The sequence below is a fragment of the Homo sapiens genome, chromosome X (genome assembly GCF_000001405.40).
Source record: "Homo sapiens chromosome X, GRCh38.p14 Primary Assembly".
In the NCBI taxonomy this organism is placed as follows: Eukaryota; Metazoa; Chordata; class Mammalia; order Primates; family Hominidae; genus Homo; species Homo sapiens.
In genome coordinates this window covers 23,376,708-23,404,654 of record NC_000023.11, presented here as the reverse complement: position 1 = coordinate 23,404,654, position 27,947 = coordinate 23,376,708, and the positions used below count along the sequence as shown (strand labels likewise).

Here is a 27,947-nt window from a genome sequence, read left to right as displayed (position 1 = left end):
TTAGCTGGGCGTGGTGCACATCTGTAAATCCAGCTGCTTGGGAGGCTGAGGCAGGAGAATCGCTTGAACCCAGGAGACAGAGGTTGCAGTGAGCCAAGATCACGCCATTGCACCCCAGCCTGGGTGACAGAGTGAGACTCTGTCCCCCCCCCCCAAAAAAATCAAACTGGAGATATTCCCCTGGCCCACCGACATTTGACTCTTTGTTGTGTGCTTAGTAGAGGATTAGAAATAAACCCGAAAAAGTGAAAGCAAAAAGAGAAATATGTGAGATGATAGATATGTTAATTAGCTTGATTTAATCATTCCACAATGCATACATATATCAAAACATCACATTGTATCCCATAAATATATACAATTTTTATGTCAATTAAAAATAAATGAATAAAAAAGAAAAGGTGAAAGCAATACATTTGAAATCTCCTTTACATTCGAAATTTGATATCAGTATTGAAAACAGGATGCTTCATTGGAAGATGGGATTTTAATATGAAAAGATAGTCAACTAAGGACTCCATGTATTTGGCATGAGCCATTTCCCAGGTGACTTGGGGGCTTCTACATTGTATAAACTCGATGTGCAAGCATGAAAGATCGCCCTCTGGTGAAAGCTGGTCAGATGGAGAGGAACGGTGGAATTGCCAATCATCAGTGGGATGGTTTTCCCTGCTGATTTTGTTTCTGTGTAGGTGTGGGATGATTTAAATGCATATTTTAGGCATTAGAGAAACTCAAGTAGTACAAAATACCGGATTTTTTTTTTCCTGAAAGAGTTGGCCGTTTTTTATTACCTTGATTTTTTAAACTATCTTTAAAAGGGAAAAATACTGTACATATTTGCCTCAAATGTAACAAGTTTAGTCATATTTTTATAGATATTAAGAAATGCAGGGGTCTGGGGTGGCATACACAGCCTCTTCAGATAAAACATTTCTGTTTATATCCACGAACCATTCCCCTGTAGATACTGCAAATAAGCAGTAGAAACATCTAGGCTTGTTAATGTTCAGAAGGGCCTTGCTATGATGATGTAGAGGGTACCAAAAAAGATCTGTGTGTCTCTTGACTTTCGGTAAAAATTAGAGTTTATTAATGCCCCTTGCTGCAAAGTATTACAGCTCTTTGTGGGAAATTGTTCTGGGTACATTTTTGATTAAATTCCACCCTGAGCACGTTCTGCCTTTCCTGGAGAAAAGTGATGTGACTCACATTTTTTAAAGCTTTAGGTTTGACTATTATTTTTTTCTAGTAGGGTTTTATGCTTATCTGTCTCAAAACTGACCAAGCTGAACTCATTATGTGCTCTAGCATTTGGATACTTTTTCCTAGTTTGAAAATAGTTTATTATGACCAGAATCACCCACTTGCCTAAGTGTGAAGAAACCCAACTAAAATACTGGGAAACACAACATTAACTATGGGGTCTTTTTGGAGGAACAGATGATAAGGTTTCTGAATACTGAATTAGTGGTTACTTTGACAAGCTGTGGTCTTACGATCTATTGCCATGGAAGCAACTTAAAAATGTATTGTGATTTAGCCCAAAACTTTACAATGTAATATGCAATTTCAGGAACTTCTTTCACTAGCAATGACAATAAGAGAGGGGCCATGTTTAAATGTTTAAACTATTTTATGTCTAGGGTGAGGATCTTTTCCAACATTACTAAATATTCAACATAGCTTCTCTTCTTTTTTGTTTTCTCACCTACTACAATTGGACTGTTAAAGCAACATTGAACAGTTATCACTATTTTGTCATTAATAATTATTGGCAGAGATTATCTTTGCTGTTAAAAATACTAAGAGCATTGGCTATGTAGACATATTTTTTACAACTTTGAAACCTTTGTACATTTAGAGGAATGAGAGAAGTTTGATCAAGAAATTACTAAAACCAAGCTGAAATTTCTTTTGTTTGGGCCTAGCATTCAATAATTCAATAATTTTGCTCAAGGGTTCTAAGCTGGATTGTAAACCACAACAAATAGTGGGTGGTTGTATTATGGGATCATAAACAATAGGAAGAGAACTTGAGTGTATTCAAAGCTGCTGAAGAGGAATTATAGGTCAATAATTCAAAAGAGAATATGGGGTCTCTTTATTCAGAAAAACATAGATTCAGGCTCTGTATCTTTATCTTATAGACAATCCAGAACAATTTACATTATCCTCAGCTCATATTCAGTCATTCCTCACATATTTGATTGTTTTCAGCTTCCCAGTAATTACTTTTTCCCTGTTATACTCTATGCCAAGGTTTTTTGGGGGAACTGCACTAGGGTTCCTCTTAATGTCCCCTCCCATCCACTCTGTGTGTGTGTGTGTGAGAGAGAGAGAGAGAGACAGAGAGTTTGGTATAAGCTTCTAAGCTTCTAGTCTTGGATAGTTCTTCTGTTGCTTGTGTGACTGTTCTTCTAAATGGATGTTGCCTATCACCAGGCCTCCATGCATGGCACTTCCTTTCCTTGAGGTTGATGAAATGCACCGGTTTTCCCGTCAAACTGATGCTAGGGATCAATGGAAACTGCCCACTTCTTCCTAAGACGAGGAGTTGGCAATTTGGAGGGATCACCCCATATATTCTTCCTCACCACTTCTTTCCCCCTTCTCTGGATCACCAAGCAAATATTCTAAATAAATTTCCACAATTCCATACCTTGGAAGAGATCTCTGTCGTTTTGGGTCTATGCTATTCTTCTTGCTTATGACTTGGAAAATTCCAACAAATGCAATTTTCCCACTGTGAAACTGTTAGCAATTTTTAAATTGCAAGGCACATTCACTTTTCCAGGTTTCTTTTCTTTAAAGCTTACTATTTGGCTGCTCTTAGCTGTGCTCGTGCATAAGAAACATATAGAAGGGGAAGATAACATTTTTTCAATGGTATCCTGCAGACATCCGAAGCCTTTGGCCTGCCAAACCTTACAGAACTATAGGGCTGGGCCTGCCAAGGCATTTTAATGTGCCTCAAATGTGTCAGGCATATTGTAAAAGGTGGTGTGCATGTGTATGTGTGCATGCACATCTGTGATATGTGTGTATGTAAGCATGTGCATATGTACAGGTATATGTTTCTATGTTTTATAGTTGTGTTGTACACACATATATGCATGTGTACATTTATGTGTGTCAATGTGTATGTGTGTGTGTGAAGCAGAGCCAACGGGTCATTACCAGTTTGCCCAGTCACCCACAGTCCTGGGAGGCATCGTGGCAACTGCCTTGGTGATTCTGGATCAGTGCGTAAAGGCAATTTTGACAGGATGGTAATTTAAAGAATAAATATCTGAAAGGCTGAGCTAAACATGTTCAAGATTCATCCTAGAAAATTAAGGAAATTGTTTTGTCAAAGAGAACGTTATTAGTTTTCCTGAGCATGAGCCTGGAATGAGTAATGGAAATGGGCTGGGTCTTTGCCATTTTGCAGGAATTAGACAAAGCACTTTGTTGATCCTAATGAACAAAGCCCTTGCCGGGCACGGTGGCTCACGCCTGTAATCCCAGCACTTTGGGAGGCCGAGGCGGGTGGATCACGAGGTTAGGAGATCGAGACTATCATGGGTAACACGGTGAAACCCCATCTCTACTAAACACACACACACACACACACACACACACACACACAATTAGCCGGGCGCGGTGGCGGGCACCTGTAGTCCCAGCTACTCAGGAGGCTGAGGCAGGAGAATGTCGTGAACCTGGGAGGTGGAGCTTGCAGTGAGCTGAGATGGCGCCACTGCACTCCAGCCTGGGTGACAGAGTGAGACTCCATCTCAAAAAAAAACAAACAAACAAACAAAAAAGACAAACCCCTCAAACTTTACATCAGATGCTACAAAGTTGAGCTAATATTCCTCCATCTCAATAGAAGGCTTTCCTTATCATGGCTGGGCAGAAGATGATGGAAGGGCCACTGATCAGCCATTGGTGTGTCCTTTGTGCTTCATGCAAGGCCAAGCAGTGATTCACCCAGCCCTTCCCATAGGCCAACCGAGGCGGCTTCCGTTGTGCCTGAAGTTATATCAGCAGCAGCAGAGCCAACAAGTACAGTATAGTCATTTATTTTCCAACTTCCCCCAGCAACCTCTATTTTATCTAGCTTCTGACTTGGAGTCAAGAGAACTGGGCTTCTGCATATTTGTGTATAAAACACACTTGTCCTTTATTTTTTTGAGACGAAGTCTCACTCTGTTGCCAGTCTGGAGGGCAGTGGTGAAATCTCGGCTCACTGCAACTTCTACCTCCCGGGTTCAAGGGATTCTCCTGCCTCCTGAGTAGCTGGGACTACAGGCACGTGCCACCACGCCCAGCTAATTTTTTTGTATTTTTTAGTAGAGGCGGGGTTTCACCATGCTGGCCAGGATGGTCTCAATCTCTTAACCTCGTGATCTGCCCGCCTCCGCCTCCCAAAGTGCTGGGATTACAGGCTTGAGCCACTGTGCCCGGCCACACCTGTCCTTAAATGCACCCATCTGTCCATGGCCACGGTTGCTTCTTTGCCCACTAAAAATATTAACGAGATGAATGAGACTTATTCTCTCCATACTTGTTTTGAGAGTAGGGTACTGCACGTGTGTGAAAGCATGCCTGGTGTAGACATCTCAGAGTAGGGCTCATTTGGGAGCAGGCCTTCTAAGGATGTGGTATGCAGTTGTAAACAGCATATCACTGTATATAACCTGGAAATAGGCTGCTCTTCCTGGTTCTTTGACAGGGCACACTTCTATATGTTGGCTTTGTTGGCTGCTGCCTTTATGTGTGTATGTGTGTGTGGGATGGTTACTGAAAATTTGAGGCTATATATAATTTGTTGCAACAGTGAGAATGTGGTAGCAACCTGGTGTTCCTCTTGCCAACAAGAGCACAGTACAGAGGGCTCCTTTCCTGGTCCTGCTGTGGAGGGCATATTTAGCTGCTGCTAGAACATGAATTGGCACTGAAAATACATTTGCAGAATAAAGAAATGAATGAATGAAAGAATGAATGAAGAATAAATGAATAGAAGTAGGCACTTGGCTTGGGATGAAGAAACCAATATTTTGAAGCATTTTTGGATCCTTAGAGAAAAGATAGTTCAAAAGTTCTTGATTGCTCATTAGCCAAAATGAGGACACCAGGATCACACTCCCAATGAGGTCTGTATTAATTTAGGACAGTGGTTCTTCACCCTTTTTCGGTCATAGACCTCTTTTGGAATCTGAGCCCTCAGTTTAGGAAAATGCACATGTTGAACATATACACACATTTTTGCATGTAACTTAATTGTAGGAAACTCAGAGACCCCTCCCATGAACTCATTTGGCCCCCAGGTTAAGACCCCAATAATTTAGATGAATAGAATTTGGCAGTAAAGTGGCAAAATGGAGAAAGAATTGAGGCTAAAAACTAGATTTCAATTATAGTCTCCTGTTTCTAATTAGCTCTGTGAATATAATTTCATTACTCGAGGGTTCAGTTTTCTCATGTGAAAAACAAAGGGGTAGGCTTAATTCTAACCAAAGATTCATCTGGTGTCAGCATTCTGGAAGGAGAAGCTGCTGGCACATTCCACAAGAACATCACTTCTTCCACCAAGCTTTCTCTGCTGGTTTTCTCCTTGGTACACATCGCTTTTTTTTGTACTTTGAAAAGAAGGCTTTTTTCCTCACCAGGTAGGCTCCTAATCAGGTGGTACTAATTTTAATCTAACTCAAAAATCTGCACAGAGGCCATAGCTCTCCGGTCGCCTCCCTTCTTCTTCCTTCCACGGTGCTCTCATAGATATCAAAGAGGACTTCAAACAAATCAGCTGGGCAGCAGCGGGGCGGGTGAGAGGCAAGCTGGGGGGGACATCCTGGCACTGCCTATTCAGGTGAACGGATTATAGCTCATCCACTTTCCTCTTTGCTTTCTCCTGGACTGGCATGAAACAGAAATAACAGTTGTAACCACCACAGGGAGGAACTCTGCAGTGTGTTGGCTGCAGCCATTCTTAGTTCTTTGCCAGCGAATCCACTAACTTAATATTTTTCTTTGTATTGCAGATTTACTATTCTTTTAAAAAACGGGAACTTTATGTCTCTAAATACCTGGTGCTTTTTACACAAAATTAAAAGCAAATTACCTCAAGGGAATGTTTACATTCCCTCAGACAAGCCAGCCACAGTTATTCAGTAATCAGTGGTGTCCCTTCCCCATCCCCAAAAGCAAGTGCCTGTATCTGTTTTTTTCAAAGATCATAGTATGATGCCAACATCCAGGACTTGCAGCCCCTTTACAGTGGCCCCACTATGTGGTGATCAGCTTCATTTTGATGTCCTAAAATGACTGGTAATTAACTACCTTCTGTGGCAACTCATTGTATTTGTAGCCCTAATTCTCAGGCTCAAATCTACTTCTCAGTAGCTTTACATCCCGAGCCCTAATGCTACTGTGCGAGATTGCTGAATTACAAATAATGTCTTGAGTCTCTTTTCTTTGCCAGGCCTTTCCAAGAGTGCTTTCCAAATGTCATCTCTCATCTCATTCAATCCCCACAATATACCTGCAATGTCACTCAAAGGTAGACTCTACAAGAGCAGATTTTAAAAAATCTGATTTGTTGACTGTTGTGTCCCCAGCCTCTCGAACAGTATCTGGGCGATATTTGGCACTCGATAAGTATTTGCTGAATTTAAAGACATTTACTGATATTATCCCCATTTTACAGATGAGAAAACAGAGTCACAGAGGTCAAACACTACTATAAGCTACAGGGGTACTTTAATAGGATCCAAAAGAATAAAGCCATTATGAGGAAGATAACATTTGTGTCCAAGAGGTTCTGCCTCTTGCCACACCCCCAAGACAGCTGCCCATTCCACCTTTTCTTGTGATGGACACAGCTGAGCTCTGTCATTGACACTGGAGAAAAGTGGTATCATGGTCCCATAATGCCACTTACGATTGGGTGATGGTTAGTTAGAATTAAAGGGTCAAGGGTTACCAAGGTCCTCATTTGGAGCGGTATATTGCATACATAAGCGTGGCCATGGAGGATGGCATCTGATTATCACACTTCTGACTGAAAACTGAGGGAGTAAAAGGCAGAAGGTAGGAAAGGCAGAAGCAAACACAAGCAAACACAAACCACAAACCAAATTAAAGCAAAACAAACATCAAAGAAACTAAAAACTCCAAAACCCAAAACAAAGTAAAACTTATGAGCTGGAACAATGGAGAAACATTTCACGAGGGTTTGTCTTCCTTTTTCTCTGAAACAAACTGTACTTCTTTTAACCTGAGGAGCCCTGATGCTGCTTGTTGAAATGTTGCTGTAGGCTAAACAATAATGCCCTATTTCAAGTATCATTTTCTTTCTTGCGAACACCACATTCCCTGTGAATTGACATCTTCTTCTTCCACTAAATGAGAGAATATCACCCTTACCTTGACTTTTAAAAATTTTCCTTATGAATGGCCAAAAAAGTCCCAGTATCACAGTTTTTTAGTTGACCAGGAGCAATATTTTTGATGAATCGAATATTTTCTTTGGTAAACAAACAACAAACACCAACTAAAAACCAACCAAGTAAGTTTCTTTGGTAAAGTGGACGTTAATGTCTTGGTTGGAATTAATTGAAAGAAAAAAAACACAGCTTCTTCAAGTGTTTGCAGGGATCAATTTTTCCGTCTTTATAGCAATTCAAAAAGTAAAACTTGATGAAGTAAAGACTTAGATTTTATGGGGATGTGATTCTGAGTTACTTCTAAAGTGTCTTCTCCATAGCGGGGCTAAACCAATGCAGCAGAGCAATAATCAATAATCAGTATTAACAAATAAATAATAATTATCTAACAATAAATAATAAATCTTGGCATGCATAATCTCCCAATAGAAAAATTCATTTCACAGTCAGAATTCCATAAGCCTTCATTTCAAGTGCTGAAAAGAGAAGTTGACAAGTTTGAAAATGCCCTTCATTAAAAAATACAATATCCCAGGGTATACAGAGACTCAATCAAGTTGGAAAACTATTATCTGTCATAAAACAGAGTTCCACAGGAAGTCATTCTGGTTGACCAAATTGAATGATTAAATTCTCAACAAAATCCATTTAATTGGTGTGTGTGTTGTGTCAGGTTTTGTGGAGCTGCTTTAAGCCGAGGTGCTCCACGTGGCTGACACTAAATCAATGACTGATTTAGAACACACTGTTCAGAAAATGATTTAGCAACACATGATTTAACAGTAAAACCAATCCCCTCTTCAGTTGTGTTTTATGAATAATAGCCTAGTTGCGGGCCCCTTGGAGAGAGAATTGATCGAAGATCTATTATGCAAACTTGCCCTTTTGTCAGGACTGTACTTGCCCTCAGATTAAAGCTTATTATCTTCTAGTTGAGTGTATAACACGTTGGTATGATCACTTAGTGTGTCTGCAGAGAAGACTGAACGACTGTGTAATGCATTAGCTACAATCCCCTGCACATGTATTTAGAACTGTATGGACAACAGTACGTGAAATAGAAAGCACAGGTTTGCACTTGGTGTGGTTACATCTGAATTATTTGGCCTTTTGGAAAGACAATGGCAAACCTAAACCTCAAACATTTTAATTCCAGACACTAAAAAAATGTCTGCCCTGTGGCCAACGAAGTCCTATGTTCCTACTTTGGAAATGCATTTTGAGAGGAGTAATAGCCATCTTATGAGAATACTGAAAATTGGACTGCCCTGTCTTAGGTATGCTGAAATGATGAAAACCCTTTAGTGGTGTGACCTGAGTGAGTCACTTTATTCTCCTAGGTCTCAGTTTCCTCCTCTGCAGAAGATAGGTAAGCTGCACAGTATGTCTGCTAAGGTTCAGAAAGGTAAGATGCTTTTGGGAAATGCTTACCACTACAGATGTCTAAGGAAGCTACATCTCTAAAAGGGAAAAATACTGTAGATATTTGCTTCAAATGTAACCAGGTTTTAGCTTCATTTTTATAAATTTAAAGAAATGCAGGGGCCTGGGCAACGTATACAGCCTTTTTAGATCTAAACCATTTCTGTTTAGATCTATGAACCATTCTTCTGTAGATACTGGAAGTCAAGAGTATAAATATCTAGGCTTGTTAATTTACAGAAGGGCCTTGCTATGATGACGCAGAAGGACATCAAAAAAGGTGTGGGGGGGACCAGCAAGGTGAGGTGCAGCCACTTTAGCAAGAGAATTGGACTGCCATCATTGATAGATTTGTATCAGTGAATACTTTTTCCAGTGTTTTCCATCTATCTCCCTTTTGGCCCTTTATCTCCCTGCACTTTTACAAAGCTTCTCAGCGTCAGGACTTAGACTTACCAAAGATCTTCTTCCCCTCTCTGTCTCTGAGCAGGTGTGTTTCACAGCAAAGGCAGACTGGCACTACAAGTTGGAAGCAACAGCAAATAACTATTTCAGTGTTCATTTTTTTTCCCCGCAGTTTTGTGTGGGCAGATGTTTCTGGATATCCATGCAAAAAATGCATGTAGGGCCAATGCAAACAGCTGTACCAGCTGGCTATTTTGTTGTTGTTGTTAAAATGGAGACACTATATCTGGGTCCAAGTAGACACCTGCTTTTGCTCCATCATGCCAGGTATTTGGGTTTGGCCCTGTGGTTTTGGGTCCCTGGATCCTCCTGCCAAGAGCTGTAACTAATAAAGCAGACCCATTTGGTGACAAGTGACAAGCTATTCCAAAGTAGAATCACACCAATTCTGCAGTGCTGGAGCTGTCATTGGTTTTAAGGTGTTTTAAGCAAACCAAACTATACAAATGTTAAAGGCATACCAATGGCGGAATATGATAATTTCATTCTAGACAACGAAACTGCTTCACCTGGGTAAATTTAGCGGTGAATCAATTTTAGTCCATGAGTGATGGCCACTCTACCACATATCAGTTTCCAAGGCTCTGGCTTGCTTTTGCTGGTCAGAACTTTCACAAGTATCTCCTTCAGTGTTAGGGAGCTAGGTGAGACAGCTAAAACCTCAAACCACAGACCATGACTGGAGCTACTGCTCTACAGAAGTTCTGGAAGCCTTATTGTTTGAACAATGCTTAAAGGTGTTTCTGCCTTGGCAGTTGACCTTTCAATCAGTGGGTTTTGTCACAATGCCAGCAACATCTGCAGTTTGGATAAGGCAGGATCCTGCTTGTTAATAAGCTTTCTTCTACTTGATCTTAGTTTAAGAGACTATAGGTCTCCCAGGGTGTGTGTGTGTGTGTGTGTGTGTGTGTGTGTGTGTGTGTGTCTATGTGTGTGTGAATTCTCATAACAACTCCTTTGTTTTAAAGACTGAAAATATGCCAGGCCCATTTCTCCCCACTGTCCTTTCCTTTTTTTTTTTTTTTTTTTTTTGGCAATGCCTGTTTCCTATCTTTAAAAAAGGGAAGAACTTTGAATTTAATTGTTTCATTAACATAATCTCTTTGGTCTTGATAAGACCTAAGGTGAAAATATGCCAAGCAGACATTATCACACTGTTGTAATTTGGTCAACCACACGGGTACTATCGATATCTACCATTTCTACACACTCAATTTCCTCCCGGTTCTCAGGATTTTTCTTCTCTTTCCTTTTTTTCTTAGAGGGTGGCAGGAAAGTCAGTATCACAGGTAAAATGGCAAAGCAGTGAAAGAAGGTGACAAATGCTATTAAAAACAAGCACCTGAACAGTGTACAGGTCAGATTTGAAGGCACAGCTGCAAGAGGAATCAGACCAACAATATAGCAGAGGTAACTCTGTAAAATAGCTACCCCATGCACTTCCAGGGCATTTTTTACCCATTTAGTTCTTGTGAAATCCTTGCCCAGAACAAATGTGGATAACATTGGAGCACAATTGTCAATTGTGTAATTAATTCCATAAATTAAGCATAGCACAGAAATGCAGTCCAGTTCTACTTTCCATAATGTCATGAAACCTATCACTCCAAACTCCACGGACACAACTGTGAGAGTGATCCAGACGTTAATCAGTGAATCTGCCACCAGGAATGCCGAGAAGAAGAGCAGGAACAAAGCACTGATGCAGGAGTTGTGCAGGGGGGCTCCCAGAGAGGAGGCATATCGATCCATGTATACAAAGGACGGATTGAAGACGATGAACTTCACCTTGGAGGTGACAGAAAGTCTCCTCAGGGTTTCCAAGAGATCATAGAGTTCTTCTCTGTTTGTTTCCATGGTCTTGGCCACCAAAAACATTCTGGAGGCCACTACATCGACCTCATCATTGTATTTTTTAGAGAAGATGATGTCCTCTTGAAAATGTGAAAATTGAGGGGCTTTCAGAAAGGAATTCCTCAACATGTCTGTGAAATTTTTCTTAGGCAAGCCAGTGGATACATTGAGTTTCCGAAGGTAATTTAAATAGCTCTCAAACCAGGATATCCGCACAAACCCCTTGGTGTATTCTAGAACATCTTCTTGGACACTAGTGTTCCAGTATTCTATAGACTCATATATGTAAAACCCAATCACAGGACTGTAGTTGCTGAAGTACTTTTGCTGGGCAGTAGTGTACTCAATGGTTTGTGTCGCGGTTGCTACAATGTTACTAAGGTCTGACCCTTCACTGACCTGCAGATAGCCCATTAAGGCAAAGGAAATATAAATAAGGTAAAAGAGAACTACAAAAGGCTTGACATAGGTGTTGGTTATCCAGTCACAGTAATAGCGTTTGAGGAAACATACCAATAGGTGACTCTCGTAAGTGTTCGCTTCCTCGCCTTCAGCTGTGTCCTCACTGAATCTGGCCGTCAGGAGAAACCTGTACCATGCCGGCTTCTCCTGCAATGCCTCAGGCTTTGGGACTTTTCTACAGAAGATACTATGCTGGTAATTGTTTTCTATGTAGCCAGTGAACACTAGGCTGGAACCATAAAACGAGAGTACATAGAGGTAGTTGAAGAAGATTGCAATACAGGAATTGCAGCAGAAAATCCTGGCTGCCTCAATGTTCGTGAAAGGGCTGGCCCCTATGCCAAAGGTGACCAGGTACATGGCAGTGGTGAGAGAAAAGGAGAGCATGGAGTCTGCATAGACTGCTGCAGTTCTCTCTTTAACATGTTGGTCTTCTCTAGTTTTCCTCCAGGAGGATAACATTTCAAAAGTCCCATATAATCCATGACCTAAGAGGGCAGAAAAAGACCAGAGCAGAAGTTTAAAGAACTAATCTCTTAAGAGGGAAATCAACTTGATTATGAGGGACTACTGGGTCAAAGGAAACGTAATCAACCCTAGTGGTGACGGGTATGTAAATGCCAATGATTTCTCCTATGCGGAGATAGACCCATGTTTTTATGAATCGTAAATGTTAATGGATAACGAAAGGGCAGCTAGAGAAGCAAAGATCTTCATATTCCCTCTGGCTTAAGAAAGTTCTCTTCTTTGGAGTGTTCCACCAAACAAACAGCACTTAGATGAACTTTTGCCTATAGAAAGCTGAGTAGAGCCAGTCATGGTGGCTCATGCCTGTAATCCTAGCAACTTGGGAGACTGAGGAAGGAAGATGACTTAAGACCAGGAGTTTGATACCAGCCTGGGCAATGTAGCGAGACCTCATCTCTCAAAAAAAAAAAAAAAAAGAAAGAAAGAAAGAAAAAAGAAAGAAAAAAAAAGAAAGAAAATGAAACAACTTAGCCAGGAATAGTGGCTCATATCTGTAGTCCCAGCTACTTGGGAGGCTAAGGCAGGTGGATCTCTTGAGCCTCGGAGTTGGAGGCTGCAGTGAGCCATGATTGTGCCACTGCACTCCAGCCTGGGCAACAGGGCAAGACCCTGACTCTAAAAAGAATAAAAGCTGATTAGACTTGTGCATATGTCTCTTGGGGATTTTTCCCATTAATAGCTTAGAGTTATTGGTGCAGTTTGGTTGGTGGAACGCTCCAGAGAAGAGAAGATGTCTGGACACTCATCATTTTGCTTTCCGTCCCCACAAGTCTGGCTAGGGGTCAGTGCAGAGGAAGATAGTGGGCAGAGGGTTCTGAGTTAATGTCCTGTCACCTCATTTAAAATTTGCCAACTAGAGGGTTTTAGTGATAAAGAGGCAGTGTATTTCATTTGAGTCTTGACAGGAAACTAAATCACAGCCCCCTCTGTTTTCCCTCCCCAAATATCAGGGCAGGAAGCAATAAATCTTAGAAAGAGGGAAGCAAAATAAGTAGGAGTGAAGAAGTTTCAGTGAAGAAAATACAGAAAAAATAAGATAAATATGAACTCTCCTGGTTATTGATAAAAATTAGGATTCAGGTTGAAGGTTTATGACTTGCAATTTGTCTTCAGGGATCTGTTTGACCAATTTGGTTATTCATACATGACTTATCAAGCAGTGATATAATACGTCAGCAGCGACTCTGCTAGCTTCTCCGCGCTATTTGATAGTGGCATCTGTGGGAAAGAGCCAGATCAGTAACCCCGCTGCGTAACTGCTTAGTGCCTTCGCCTCCTGGTTTAGTATTTCAGCAATACTGAAATAGCAGAGGTACAGTAAATGCTCATGTTCTAAACTCCATTCTGCTGCCTGGAACCTGATCTAGCATGACTTCTACCACCTCTCGTAGTTGGAGCCAGACATTTCCCTACTTCGAGTCCCTGTGTTTCCAGGCCACTGCAACATTGGAAGGCTCACCAAAGTGACCCGTTGTGGATTTCGATAACTCCTGTCTTGGCAATGGGGATCAGCAGATCTAATTTCCTGCTTCCATCGCCTTGGCATATTCAATCCCATTATTGAGGATAATAAAATCTTTACCCTGTGGTACAATAGTCTTGTATTTAAAAAGGAATTTAAAATCTCCAGCCAAGCATAATGCTGAATAAAGTGAGTCACTGTTATCTTGTGTGTACAATAGCTAGGTGTACATCTTCCCTCATGCCCAAGCTAGTATTTATATCCTTATTGTGAAGTCCTGGCCTCATACCTGAAATGCCCATTTCAAAGTAATGATTTAGGCCTGTTTCCTCAGAGGAATTTGGCATTTATCTTAATTGACTAGGCATCGTTTTACAGCCACTTTTAGAAGTCAGGTCAAGACTGTCAATTTGTTAACTAGCACCGAGGCCCCTATTAAATTGAAGGCACCTAAACTCCCCAGATATGAAGTAAAAAGTACACTCATTGACTGGCATCCTGTTGTTAATTATGCTTAGGTATTAACATCTAGTCTGGAGAGGGAACATGATTAAATCTGTTTCTAGTATATTTTCAAGATGGACCCACTGACCTTTAATTAAGTAACCATTCTCTTGACAATGAGGGTAAAAAGAGAATACTTCTGAGGCACTGTCCCTGAAGAAATAATATTGTTTTTTTTGTTTTTTTTTTTTTTTTCCTGGGGCCATGTAGAGCAAGTAAGCTTTGGTGGGCAAAGCACACTTCAGGGGATCACTATAAATGGCAAATAATTTTTTAATGATATTTACTTGCCAGAAACAAAAAATTTAAACAGGGTTTTAGTACTGAGTTATTAAATATGGCAAGAAAATAAAGCATATAGCGGAATTAGAATTAGTCATATAATAGAACTTAAATCTGTTTTGCAGTTCTTTTAAAAATCAGTGTGATGTTTTATAATGACATTATCTGACCCTGATTTTTGGAAAATACAATAAGAATCAATTTCATACCTTGCTGTTGAATAATCTTAGAAGCTAATTGAGAAAAGGAATTTGAATTAACAGAGATATTAGGTGACAAGACTGAGGCTCCAGGGTCAAGAATGAAAGTAATCAAAATCAAGGAAAGGTGGAAGTAGGCTGTTAGCTTCTCTCTTGAGTTCTGTTGCTGCATTTTAAATGCCTTGTCCTTCTATAGTTTGATCTTTTATTTTGAGTCCTGGCTCTTTTTGCATATGTTCTTGGTTTGGGGGCAGCTCCAAAGAGAATTCTAATTTTCTTCTGAGGGGCTTTTGGAAACGATGCCTTTCCTTAGTTCTTCCTTCTTGCTACAGGTGTGTACATGCAGCCACTCACAGAAATCAGAAGAGGCCCTGAGAAAGAATTTGTTCTAACCGATCACTCAGCATTTGTTGCTAGTTGTGCCTGACTTTGCCTCCAAAGGCCCCGACCACCATTCCTGATAGGTCAGATTCCTTTCTCAAGCCACACCTCTCGAGCAGATTGCTACACCCGAATCCCCAAACTGGAGTTCTACAGCATCTTACAAGAGCCCTTTGGATTTCTGGGACAATTGCTGATACCATAACTGGGCCTCCTTCCTGAAGGTTTGTCAGTCAAGGGAGGGACAAGTGCTAACATAGCTGTGGTCACCTCTTAAGGATTAACAGCCTGGAGTGCCTGGCTGGCAGCTGTCCTGGCTCATAGCTGGGTATTTTTGCTGAAGAGGTCGGCCTGTTATCCTATAGGAAAGGCCATCGGTGAGGACTCTTGTGTTCTGGCCTGGATTCAAGGGGAGACACATTCCAAAAGCCCTAGGACACGAGGACCATCCTGCCCTCCAGAATGCCGGAATTATATCCGAGTTCCCCTTGGAACTTTCAAGGGTATCCTTTTAAATGTAAACTCCTCTGGGACAGTGGTCTACTGAAGCAGCTTCCCTTAGGTCTGGGGAATGGGACAGAGAATGGACATGGGAATGGAATAAAGAGGAAATGGCAGGTAGGAGAATTTCACAGAGACGAATTTCTTCAGTTTTTCCTTCAGTCAGGTCTGACCTTATCTTTTACTAGCACTCCAGAAACTGGGCCACCTGGAGTCAAGGAGAGGCAGAGAAGATAGATTTTGGTAGGTTCTGTTCCTCTCCACTTTCCTCTTTCAGTGGATGGCTACCTCCTTTAGCATCATCATCATTCATTGCTTTTTTTTTTTTTCGAGACGGAGTCTCACTCTGTCTCCCAGGCTGGAGTGCAGTGGCACAATCTCTGCTCGCTGCAGCCTCGGCCTCCCGGGTTCCAGCGATTCCCCTGCCTCAGCCTCCTGGGTAGCTGGGATTACAGGCACATGCCACCACGCCCAGGTAATTTTTGTAGTTTTAGTAGAGATGGGGTTTCACCGTATTGGCCAGGCTGGTCTTGAACTCTTGACCTCAGGTGATCTGCCTGCCTCGGCCTCCCAAAGTGCTGGGATTCTATACAGGCATGAGCCACCACGCACAACCCACTCTCCTAATTTTGGGGCTGTAGTTCAGCAAGCGGAACTCTGACGCCAAATCTTACAGACGTAGGCAAACAGATATTGCATGTGGACTGAAGATACTTTTCAGAGGTCTGACTGTTGTTTCCTACTTTTTAAAAAGGTGTTTTAAAAGCAAAAGTACTGCTGTTTGCTTTGCACTCTAGTTTTAAAAACTTCTCTACAAAGTAGGAGTTCTATAAGCTTCTCTGTTAAATCTGACCAGTGGGCCTATGTCATTGGCACAAAGCATGACTTTGGCAAATAACAATTTCCCATCTCCAAAGTCCCAAGTCTGTTCACAAGGACTCCCTGGTGACAGAACTCATGGGGTGGGGCCAGGGCAGAGCTACCTAAATACAGATTTTGATTTTGGTCAGTAGGGACCCTGTGGTGTTATTGGGAGTCATGACTCATCATTTGAGGGCCAGGTCGCAGCCTGAGACCTTGGGGTAAAAAGACTATATATCACAGTGAGGATATCAGGAACCTCCACATCCTGACATCCTCACATTCCAAGGATTACCCTGGATGATACAACATCCCAGGGGATTCCTTCTTTTACAGTCACAGTGCAGGACTGAGGAGTTGCCAACGGGAACTGTTAAACACATACTGATTCTATCAGATTTTGAAGATAAAAATGCTTCTAAAGCATTCTCTTGTCCTTTAAAAGCATATTCAAGATGTTTGTTTCTATTTTTGTTACCCTGCATGTCTGTATTGTTACATGCATAAGAACAAATGCATATCAGTATGTAAAAACACATACACACACACATAAAGAGAAAGAGAGAGAGAGAGATTGAAGGGAGCGCCAAGTTCTAATTATTCGTGAGTGAATACTCTGAGGCAGCTCGAGGTTTTTGTCAGGCCAGCAGGGCTCTTCACTAATGTTGAGGCAAAATTTGGGCCGGGAGTGTGATTTTAAAAAGAAAACTGCTTTTATTAATTTTATTTGCAGTACACTTTGGGGTTGTCATCTAATAAAATAAAATACTAAAGAATTTAGGCTAATAATTTTTCTTATTCTCAAAAGAATTTTTATATCTGAATGTGTTGTTAACTCTCAGACTTTGGAGCAAATGAAGGGAAAAAGAAGCACACATGATAAATAACACTAATGGCGGAAAAAAAAATTCAACTGGCTAATCCTCCCATCACTGAGGGTGACTATCAAGCACCCTCAGAGATTAATTCTGTCACCCAGAACTTTCTGGGGCCTGACCAAAGCCTTCAGGGTTGTTTATAATCCGGTAAGACAGAATCTACTAACAAATAGTTGAGAGTTAACCTTTCTTTACCCAGTAGATATACTTCTGGAAAGTTGCTCATAAAGTGAATAATATTTTAAATGTATTTAGTGGTTTTGCTATTGGAGACAGTCTGGGTGATTTTTTTGTTGTTGTTTGGTTTTCAATGAATAATCGTAGGCAAATTGATCTACTTTGTATAATACTTCTGGATTTTGTAAGTCAGATTTTTCTTCAGTCCCAGATTTTCGCGCCTGTCCCAGTATACATAGCCACAACACAGCAGCTGAGAGATGCCGCTGGGTGCTACTCACATTTTAAACCTCTCCACACTAGCAGGATTTCCTCATCCTGAGTTCCTCAAAGTAAGGAATGGCTAAGAAGGAGGAAATGGGATGGCTTGCTGATTGATGGATGATCTTTCAGTTTCAGTGTGAAAACATTTAATATCATGAGTCAATGAAGCTGTTTATAGCATGCCTGGGCAGTGCCAAATTTCATATATGGAAATAAAATTACTACATTCGTCTCAAAAATTCAGAGACTATAATCCATAAGCAAAATCTGCTTAAAGCCTATTTTATTCTTAGAAAAGCTTCACTAAGTAGCTCATGTTTATAAGATGCCTGTTTTTCAATGTCATCCACATAAATTCATGATTTTTGTGTTTTTGAGAAGAAATTTAAAGTGTATATATGTCTGGGTTGAGTAACATCTATTTTCAGGGAGAAGTTTATTAATTGGGTTACATTTACACTTTGCCAGTTATAAACATTTACTTTACAAGCTGAATTGTTTGGTTTATTGCAGCCTGTTTTGTCTCAGAGTTAAGAGTAAGAATAAAGGTGTACTCTGTTTAAGTAAAGACAGATGCTCACATCAGGGGGAACACACACATCTTATTCTTTGTACTAGAGACTTGTCACATTTTGAAAATTCTAACCAGAGCATTGGGTTTTAGTCTTAGGAATGATTTTTCTTCACTAGATAGCTGTAAAAGAGAGCCCTAGAAATGAATTTGCTTATAGCTCTTCCTTGTTTAAAGTATTTAGATATTGTGTGTATGTACATTATATAAGACCAGTGTGTATAAGTATAAATGTGGCCCATAATATATGCTATGGTCATTGCTTAATTTCTTTTCGTATAGAATACAAATGTGATATATAAACATATGTATATATGGCATATCCTATTCAAATATATTTTATATATTTACATACAAAATGTTGGACTCCTATATACCAGATAGTATACACAGAGAATAGCTTCTATTTAAATATTCAAGCAATATATATTACATAATATATGTTATAAACACATTGTATACATATAAATACATAACATGAGCTTACTACATATCATATTGCATATGATATATAATACAGCTAATGTGATATATAATATATATTATGCACATAGGCTATAAAGACACACATACACACAAGATGAATAGTAGGCTGATGTGAAATTTATTTTACTGATGAGGCAAAATAATGTTAGTGTTGCTACACCAATCAGTGTAGAGAAGGGGCTATAGAATCCCTCTGTTGGGCTCCATCTGTCTATATTTTGGTTCTTGAGTAATAAAGTAGCCTTGGTGAAATGCAGGGTTTCCTTGACAATAACTGTGAACCTGTTTCGGTTGTGAGCTTCTGTATATCCATCTGGTCAAGACTGCCCAGCTGTGACTTTCTGAGAGTTTAGTCCAAATGTAGATACTAGGTATTTCTCCCCAGGGTCTATGTTTAGTTCAGTGTCCTGATGTTGCCTCTTGCTGCCCAACCTTTACAGGGTCTGTCACTCCCTCATTCCCTGGGCACGACCGGGTAGACAGACCACCCAGGGGATATCTGGGAATCCTGGGTCAAAGACAAAGCCCCTTTGTATTCCTCTGACTGAGTTCTGCTTTCCTGGACTTGTGCCCCCAAGTCCTGTTCCTGTCTTACTTTATGGTTAAAAATAGAACAATAAAACTTGTTTTGTTCCATTCCCCTAAACCTATTTATTTCCACCTACTCTCACCCTAATATGATTGGTGGAGCATAAGAATAAAAGGGCAAGAACGAATTACAAGCCTAAATTACATAATCTCCTTGTAAATTAGTCCCATAATGACCATGGACCATTACAAAAAACGATATTCGAGAGACAAACTTTGGAAATACTGTAAAATAAATGATCTCTTTTAAAAAAATAGATGTACACAAAAATGTGAACAACAAAACCCTCATAAATCAGTTGTTTTCTCTAGAACATGCTGAACCTATTACTGATTTATATCTAAGCAAAGTCTTTCCATAGCATTCTAATATACTTCTACTCCATCAGGCAAAATTGTCATATTGTTGCAAATAATGGATTTCTACAATAATGTGTTAGGCTGAACCACACAAAATTACCATTTTTGTAGCTCAAAAATGACCAGATAATGGTACCAAGTTTGTAGGCCAAAAATGGTTGGATATTTGCAATTTCATATGGTTTAAATTTTATTATTATCTGACTGATTTTTCCCTCATTTTCTCATGACTTTTGAAATGTATCAGAATACTCATCAGGAAAGCAAATTCTTTCAGGTTTGCTTAAGTTTAGAGAAAAAATAAGAATTTCAATGTTTCAGTTGGAACTAAATGTTTTGCATGAGAATTTTTTTTCCTTCCCTTTTTATGAGCTCCATATACTGCATTATATTTCAAGTGGCATCATATGAGAGCAAATTCTTGGAGAATGGAACCCAATCTTCTGGTTTCTGCTACATATGAATAATGTTAAAATGCACAGCTAAAAGAAGCCAAACTTCCCTGCTATTATTCTTTTCCTAGCACTAATCCGCAAATTAGAAATAATCCACTAATTCTTTCTTCCTTTCACGTCCTTGAATCTGAGTGGCCTGGTTGGATAATTCAAAAGGAAGAGAACACCCTGGATCTGACATCTGACCTCAAAATCCCAAACATTTGAAAAAGGGCTTAAAGAGTATTTTTTATCTCATAAATCTCTGGGGCTCTTGTATCTTGATAAATGCAAAGCAACCTTTATAAACTAGATTGCATGTAGAAACTAATATCCGAACTCTTTCACTACGACTTCAATTCTCCTTTTTAGCTGTACAGGATGTACATGAAGCAACAAACCTTCCAGATGCAGAAGGGAGAAAACTTTCTTTTGGTTCCCTTCTACATCATCTAACATTCTATCCCTTTCCTGATTTGTATCTGATCAGCAAAGCTGTTGAAACATTAAGCCTGTAAGGAGAGCTTGCACACAGAAAACCTATGCTAATTTTAAAAATCATACCCAACTGGAGAATAATGGTGTAAATCTTCATCCTTTAAAGGAAATTCCATCACAGATTAAAATAATTAGCATCATATATTCACAAGTAGCAATTCAAGTAACTCACTACTTGATATCAATATATTTGGAAAGGGTTATTATTTTATGCACGATAAGGGTATAGACCAAATAAACTCTTCTCCAAATTAGAGTAACTAAAAAATGTCGATGAACATTTATAACGCTGTAGACCTTTTAGGATTTCAGCTCTAAATAAACTGATATGACTCATCTGGACAGAGGTTTTGGCAGAAGTGGGATTGTCTAGTATGCACAACACTGATTAAAAACATTCTAAATCATGATGTATCTATGCTTACATCATTGCCAAAATGATTCATCTGTGTAGGATATATTCTTATTGCCAGAACTGTCACATATCATCTTGGCTAGAAACACACAGTCACATCCCATTATGGTGAACTCTTAAGAGTTTATCCAAATTCTTTCCTCTTCTGGAATTTTGTCAGGTTAATACTGCTTGACACATGTGATCTTAAAATTTTCCATTCTAAATCTAGTGTCATTTTGGCATTTGGCTGGATTTGGCCTATGTGACCAGAATCACACTGACAATGTTCAGTTTGTTGAATTTTAAATCTATAATGTTTATCACAGTATAGACCTATTGATAGCCAAGGAAATGTCCATGTTTGAGACTTTTTCTAAGATACTTTACCTTTTAAATGAGGCTATATACTTTTTGATTTGATATTGTATTTATATAACATACTAAATCAAGTTTTGCTTAAATCTGCTTAGGTTAAGCATAGCCATTTTAAGTTATACACAGGAAAATTTAAACACTGGACAGTTTACTGTAGTGCCAAAACTCTTAGCACTGCATTTCTTCTTGGTCATTTGAAATATTTACTGGCATTTTAGGACTGGTCATCCAAAAACCCCAGAATTAAACGATGGCCTTGAATGCAACATTTATGAAGCTGTTCTTGCTTATATTTCATTTTATAAACTCTTAAAAATGAAGAGTTTATCTGAGAAATACAGGAGGGCGACCATCCTAAATCCAGGCACTGTTAGCTTTATGAGCATATTAAGCACCCATTACATCGTGCAAAGTGTTTATTGTAAATGGGCCTTAGCTATTAAAACATGTAGCTTCCTTTCATGTTATGACTAAGTAATTTGAGAACTCTTTGGGCTGAGAATGTACAGAAAGGTTGCACACTGATTGTCAGCAGGGAAAACTGCCATCAAATCAATGCACGTAACATTCCTCAGAAATTGCAAACAAGGGCTTATTGGGCACCTGTGGTGCGTGGTCTCTTTCGCTGCAAATGCTAGATTTTTTCTGAATTGAACTGTGATGTAAAGTTCAGTGATACTCAGTCTTTGTGGATCTGTGGCATTACTATTTCTGGATTTGTTTTTTAAAGACATTTCCCTGCTAACAGCATCTTTCCATCCTACCATCTCTTACATCCTTCCCTGCACCAATACTATCTGCCATGGTCTGTTTTGTGTTGACTTTGCCTTACAATATTTAAAACCTCTTTAAAAAGTACAAAAAAGTAAGTTTTAAGAAATTTAAAATATTGCAGTTTACTTTATAAAACTAACTTTAAGAAGTTTTGAATATTACAATTTCATTTTTTAGTGAAACGAAGTTTTGAATACTGCTATTTTAGTTTACTTAAAATTAATTTGAAGAAACTTTAAATATTATAATTTTATTTTACTTAGTAAATTAACTTTTCACAAGTTTTAAATATTCTAACATGCTTTGAGCTCACTGGTAACAACCTGGAATGTCATAAAATCAGCACTGATTGTCCTTTTTCTAGCTCCGGCGTCCTTTTGCCTCACCTTGAGAACCTTACGATCTCCCTTCAGTTCCCCACTCTTTTCTTATTCCTATTTCTCTTCCTCCCACAAAAGCAGCAAGAAAATGAAAAGCTAAAAAATGAAACGAAACGAAAACCCTTCCCGTAACCCCCAAAACATTCAAGATTGTGACTAATCATGAGCAAAACATCTTAATTTCAACCTTGATACAAGCCTCTGTGGAAGCTACTAATACTCAGTCCTACTCACTCTTCAAGGAACCACTCTGTATTCCACAGTCAACCCACACGGTCTTGGGGTGATTTTAAAGCGGCAGGTTATGCTGCTTTCTTAATAGACCGAATTCAGGAGGAGGTACGGCAGCCTTCTTCTCTGTTGTTTTCAGCAGTGACAAGTACATTATCAAATTATCAGGCTGCTCGGTCTCCTTACAGTGCCCAGCTCTTCACAAAAGCTACTAGTATATGTTTATTGACTAGGTTTCAATTCCTCGGGCCACAGAGAATCGAGGGCAGAATGTAATTCTGTGGCTTTGCAGCCCCACCAGCCCCGCTTATCGTGTGCTCACAACACAGCGGAGATTTCCTGAGGAAATTCTCTTCCACTACTCTAAAACAGGGCATAAGGCACGCTAATGACCTCAACAGTGGTTATTTCTTAGTTAACCAAAAAATGCCACTTCATTTGTCATGTGAGTATCTGATTCCAAATGACATTTTAATTTTGTTAAAGGAATTGATGAGAAGCTACCATAGAAAAGGGGGAAAGTGAACCTCTTGAATCCTTGGCCCGCAAGAACCCTGCCATCAGGCTTGCTGGGCATGCCATTTTCGATAACAGATGGACAGGGCAACCGATGTTATGGCCACTATGGCTTTGTTTTGACCATTAATCTCTATCAGGGAGTTCCAGCAGCCCCCTGAGTGGACACACTGGAAGCACGCTGTCACCATCAGCATCGCTTTAAAATATTCTCCTGAGTTCATAGTAAGAATAGGAAAAAAAGTTACTTCCTACTGGTATCTCACATGTCACTTTCAAAGTTCTTATACATTTATCATGTCCTTTTGTGTGATGCTCACATCCACTCTATTCATAAGGTGGGGAAACTGAGAGTAGCAGGCGCTCTCAGTGCCAACCCAACATGCCCTCCCATTCCCCATTCTTGAGCTTGCTGAAGGCTTATAACTACAAAGTCACCTGAAGGATTTCTCTGGCTGCAGGAGTGTGCTGCAGGAGCACCTCCCTGGGAAGTGCTGGCAGTTAACTGGCCTGGGGAGCAGCCCTCAATGAATCACAAAGGGTCTGTGGGAAAATAGCCCAAATTCCTCACCCCGGGGGAGGACCTCTCTGAGGTGTGTTTCACAAGGTCTCCCAAAGGTCCCCTGTGGGGCTGAACCACAGGTGCCCACAGCAACCGGCAGAATGTGATATATCTTGGGCTCATTAACATACCTTCAACTGCCTGCCTTCAACTGAAGTGCCTTCAACTTCCACTTCCTCACTCCCATACTGGTGCTTCCTGGGCTCACCTCCCAAATACACTACTTGTATCCAAATCTTTTTCTCAGGGCCCTGCTTATGGGGAAGCCCAACCTAAGACACTGGGACAAGGAGAAGATTAATACCTGCTAGACACCACATGGCTGCTCAATGGAGAGTCAGCGCTAGAACCCAGGACTTTGAACTTCTGGCACATTTACCAGATTAGGTTGTTTTTTGCTGATTACCAGCACTTTATAGAGTGGGTCCCAGGACTTTTGGGCAAAATGAAGATACTGTTAAATGAAACAAAGTTGTTAGAAGGCTACTCCTGGCCTTTTAGGAACCTAGTCAACACCACCAGCAGGCGGAAACAGAAGAAAGAAGAGTAGTAATTACCTAGCATGACGAAAGGGACTCCCAGGAAGGTGGAATTATATTTCCCACCAGTAAGATTGATGATCCCGGCTGCAGTGAGAGTGGCCAGGCTTATGGTCACCAATCCGAGCAGGCCTAGCCAGGGTTTGCTGCGGACGCAGTCCTGCATAGAGCAACACAGGATGGCCATGGTAACCACCAGAATCAGGCTGGTGACCAGGTAACGTTCTGATACGCGGCTGGTCTTCTGGAAATCTTCCCTCAGTGAGGAGGACGTGTAAGGGTACATTTTGACTTTGCTGTTGGATTTCTGAAACAGTCTGACAGTGTCGCAGAAGCTGGACTCCCACCTCTCAGCCACCATGTCATTGAGACTGTTGATTGACTGCAGGTAGTAGGTGAGCTGGATGGCCTCTGCAGATTTCACCCGGTCTTTGCTGTGCACAGTGACGCCCCCAAGCTGGTGCCCATTGTACACAGCCCTCCCGTCCTTTAAGTGAGTGATTGGGTATGTGATAGCAAAATTGGTCCGATTGGTGGCCCGAGCATTCTTTAGCTCTTCCAGGACGTGCACTATGTCATCCACGATGCAAGTCTTATCATTATTCAGGATACATATATGGGCAAACGTGTAATTAAAACCAGGCCTTGGAACCTGGATCTTGGTGACAGCAGCATGCAACTGTGGGGGAAAAAAATGACAGCATTTATTAATCAAATATTTCTATTTTTATTTTTTGGAGAGGGTGGACATTCCGTCTCTAAGCTAAACAGTTCAAATCAAATGTTATAAACCTAGATCAGAAATAGGTAGTAGGAATGTGAAACACACATTTGACCAGTGGTTCTCGCAATGTGGCCCCTAGAACAGCAGCAGCAGCATAACCTGGGAGCTTGTCAGAAATGAAAATTCTTAGGCACCATCCCAGACCTGGTAAATCAGAATTTCTGGGGTGTAGCCCAGGAATCTGGGTTTTCGCAAGCCCTCTTAAGAATTCTGATGCAGCTGACATTTGAGAAATGCTGCATTAAAGTACCAGTATTCTTTCCACGTGTTCTTTATTTGTGACCCAATTGGTCTATACTGTTGGGAAGTCTTATATAGGTCCCCTGTTCAGTGTCCCTGTTGAAAATGTAACATAGAAAGTGAACTAAGGTGCAATTCCAAATGCAGAGATCCTCTGCTGGCTCGTCCTTTAATGCCGATTTGCAGGGCAACTAAATGATCTCTTCATCCAATTAAGTCTCTCTCTACCATATAAGACAAGAGGTTTACCTTGAGGGTCCTTGTTGTCTCTGGCTTTCCTTGCCTACATGTATGGGAAGGGAGCTATAACTGTAAGAGCCTGGCTGGGATATATGGGAATCATGCTAAAGGAGAACAATGGGATTTATTCTACACACCTTGCTCTATACCGAATTTGCTGTGCCCAGGTACTGAATGCTTGTCATCAAAATATGCAGGAGAATACACGCACTAATTTAACTGCCCCTACTACATGCCAGGCACAATTCTAGGCTCCTTATACAGATAAACTCATTTAATCCTTGCAGCAAATTACAAAGTAGGTTCAAGTACTAGCTTCATTTTACAGATGAGGCAATACAGAGAAGCCAAGTCACTTGCCCAATGTCACACACATAGTAAGAGGCAGAGCTGGGCTATACCAGGCAGTCTGGCTCCAGAACCTGTGCTCTTGGCCCCTCACCATACACCTCTAGCCATCTGAATACCTAAGGTTCTTGTTAGCAACTAATTTCTGAATTTATGCTTTTACTGCCCCACTCCTAAAAGTCACAAATGCTCTATTTCAGATATGTACGAGTATGTGTAATCTACTGTCTAAGATAAGAAAACAAGGTAGTCGAGGGGTGTGGTGGGAGTAAGGGAGTTAAATGAGCTACTACCACGTGTCAGGGCTTCACACCTTAAATTCTCTCAACAAGTCACTTTACAGATAAGAAAACTGGGGCTCAGGGAGGCCATGTAGGTAGGAGGAATGGCGGGGCTCATCACTGTCTTTTTGAAAATGGCATATCATGTTACTGTTTCAGTGGTAGCTACACAGGTCCTTAGTTTAACTGTTTTGACTCACCAGTAGCTTATCCTCATGGTGGCTTTGCTTTCTCTGTATAAAATGTGGCCCGTGTGCAAAATGAGGCCAGTGACAGACATGTAGTTGAGTGTTAAGTAAACTAGTACATCTACGACTGTGCTTAGCACTGAGTGGACTCTCTCAAGAGTATAGATAGCCATTATGACATATCTGATGAATGAAGGACATTTCATCTGTAAAGAAGCTAGAATTTAACATGCACAGAGTTGTTATACTGTAGCTGTGCCACTACAACTCATTACCTTCTCCATGATCCTGATATATTTTCTCTCAAATCTGTGCTAAATAGACTATCTGTTAAGACATTTTGCTGCGCATGTGCCTGGATGAGTGGGATATTATGCTTTTAAAACAATGTCTGAGGGGCACTAGCTGTCAAAGTGCTTTCATTAGCACAGAGCATGAGTGGAGAATCCTAATTCTCAGTGGCCCCTTGCCCCCCATCTCTTCATGGGTACCAACCCACAGGATCAGAAAACATTTCATTGTATTATGTTTGGCTGAAATAATTTGAATTCCTTTATATAAATATGTAAACACACACACACACACACACACACACACACACACACACACACACCCCTAGGAGGCTATTTTCACAGCCTAATCATATGCTAAATGTTTGTTTTGATGCTTTGGGATTAATGGTGAGCAAAATGTCTTCCATGATTTTAAGCTGTGAAAGTGTGTTTTTATCAATTCTTCTCTAAGCATGGCCCAGTGAATTTTGATTAAAAGAACTCCTAGTTACAAAATATTTCAAATTATAAAAGGTTATTTTGGAAGAAAGAAGAACTTAGAGGAATTTAAAGACAAGAGAGAGTTTTGATAAGCACTGAAGAAAGACTTTGGGAAAAGATTCAGAATAGGCTAGAAAAGGAGTGGTATTGAAAGCATGCCTAAGTGTAATATTTAGTGCATTGTTTGTTCCCATGAGCAGTGTAATAAATCTCCCTTAAAGTGATTACTAAATATGTCAAGAGAAAAAGATTGCCAAATAAGATGGTGTTAAGCCACAGGGCTGAACCCAATTATAGCAAGGGGATATTTTCCATCCATTCTCTATGACGGCCATGCCCTTCTGGGTGGGGAGTTGTAAACTCTTTAGGGATCTTCCAACTGTGCAGATCTACTGCTATGACCCCAGGACCATACATCGAAGAAAACAGACACCATGTTAACCCGCGTACTACAAGACCATAGGAGGGAATCTTGGAAAATGAGAACCTTAATGAAGTTTGAGAGGGAAGGTTTCTTAACTCACTTCCAGAGCTGCTGTAAGATGCAACTGCCTTGACTTTCCGACAGAGTGGTGGGTAGAACATGTCACTCTTGCTTCTGAGTGGCAGAGTTCTGCAGAGTGACAAAGCAGCCAGAGAGAGGGTGTTGGCTGAGGCCACCCACCTAGCAGGGGGAATCTGTAGGATTCTACTGTGGAATAAGAGGTG

At 40.4% G+C, this 27,947-nt stretch overlaps 1 protein-coding gene across 2 annotated transcripts in view; it reads right to left on the bottom strand.

The window, feature by feature from the left end:
• Positions 1-280: 280 nt before the first annotated feature.
• Positions 281-27,947, bottom strand: part of PTCHD1 (patched domain containing 1) — a 69,979-nt gene continuing 42,312 nt past the window's right edge. For both annotated transcript variants that reach the window (XM_011545449.4, NM_173495.3), the window contains 2 exons: positions 24,404-25,064; positions 281-12,124 (listed from right to left, as the gene is read on the bottom strand). In XM_011545449.4, the coding sequence (XP_011543751.1) occupies positions 10,470-12,124; positions 24,404-25,064 (2,316 nt within the window). In that variant the 3' untranslated portion in view covers positions 281-10,469. The remainder of the gene's footprint in view (positions 12,125-24,403; positions 25,065-27,947) is intronic.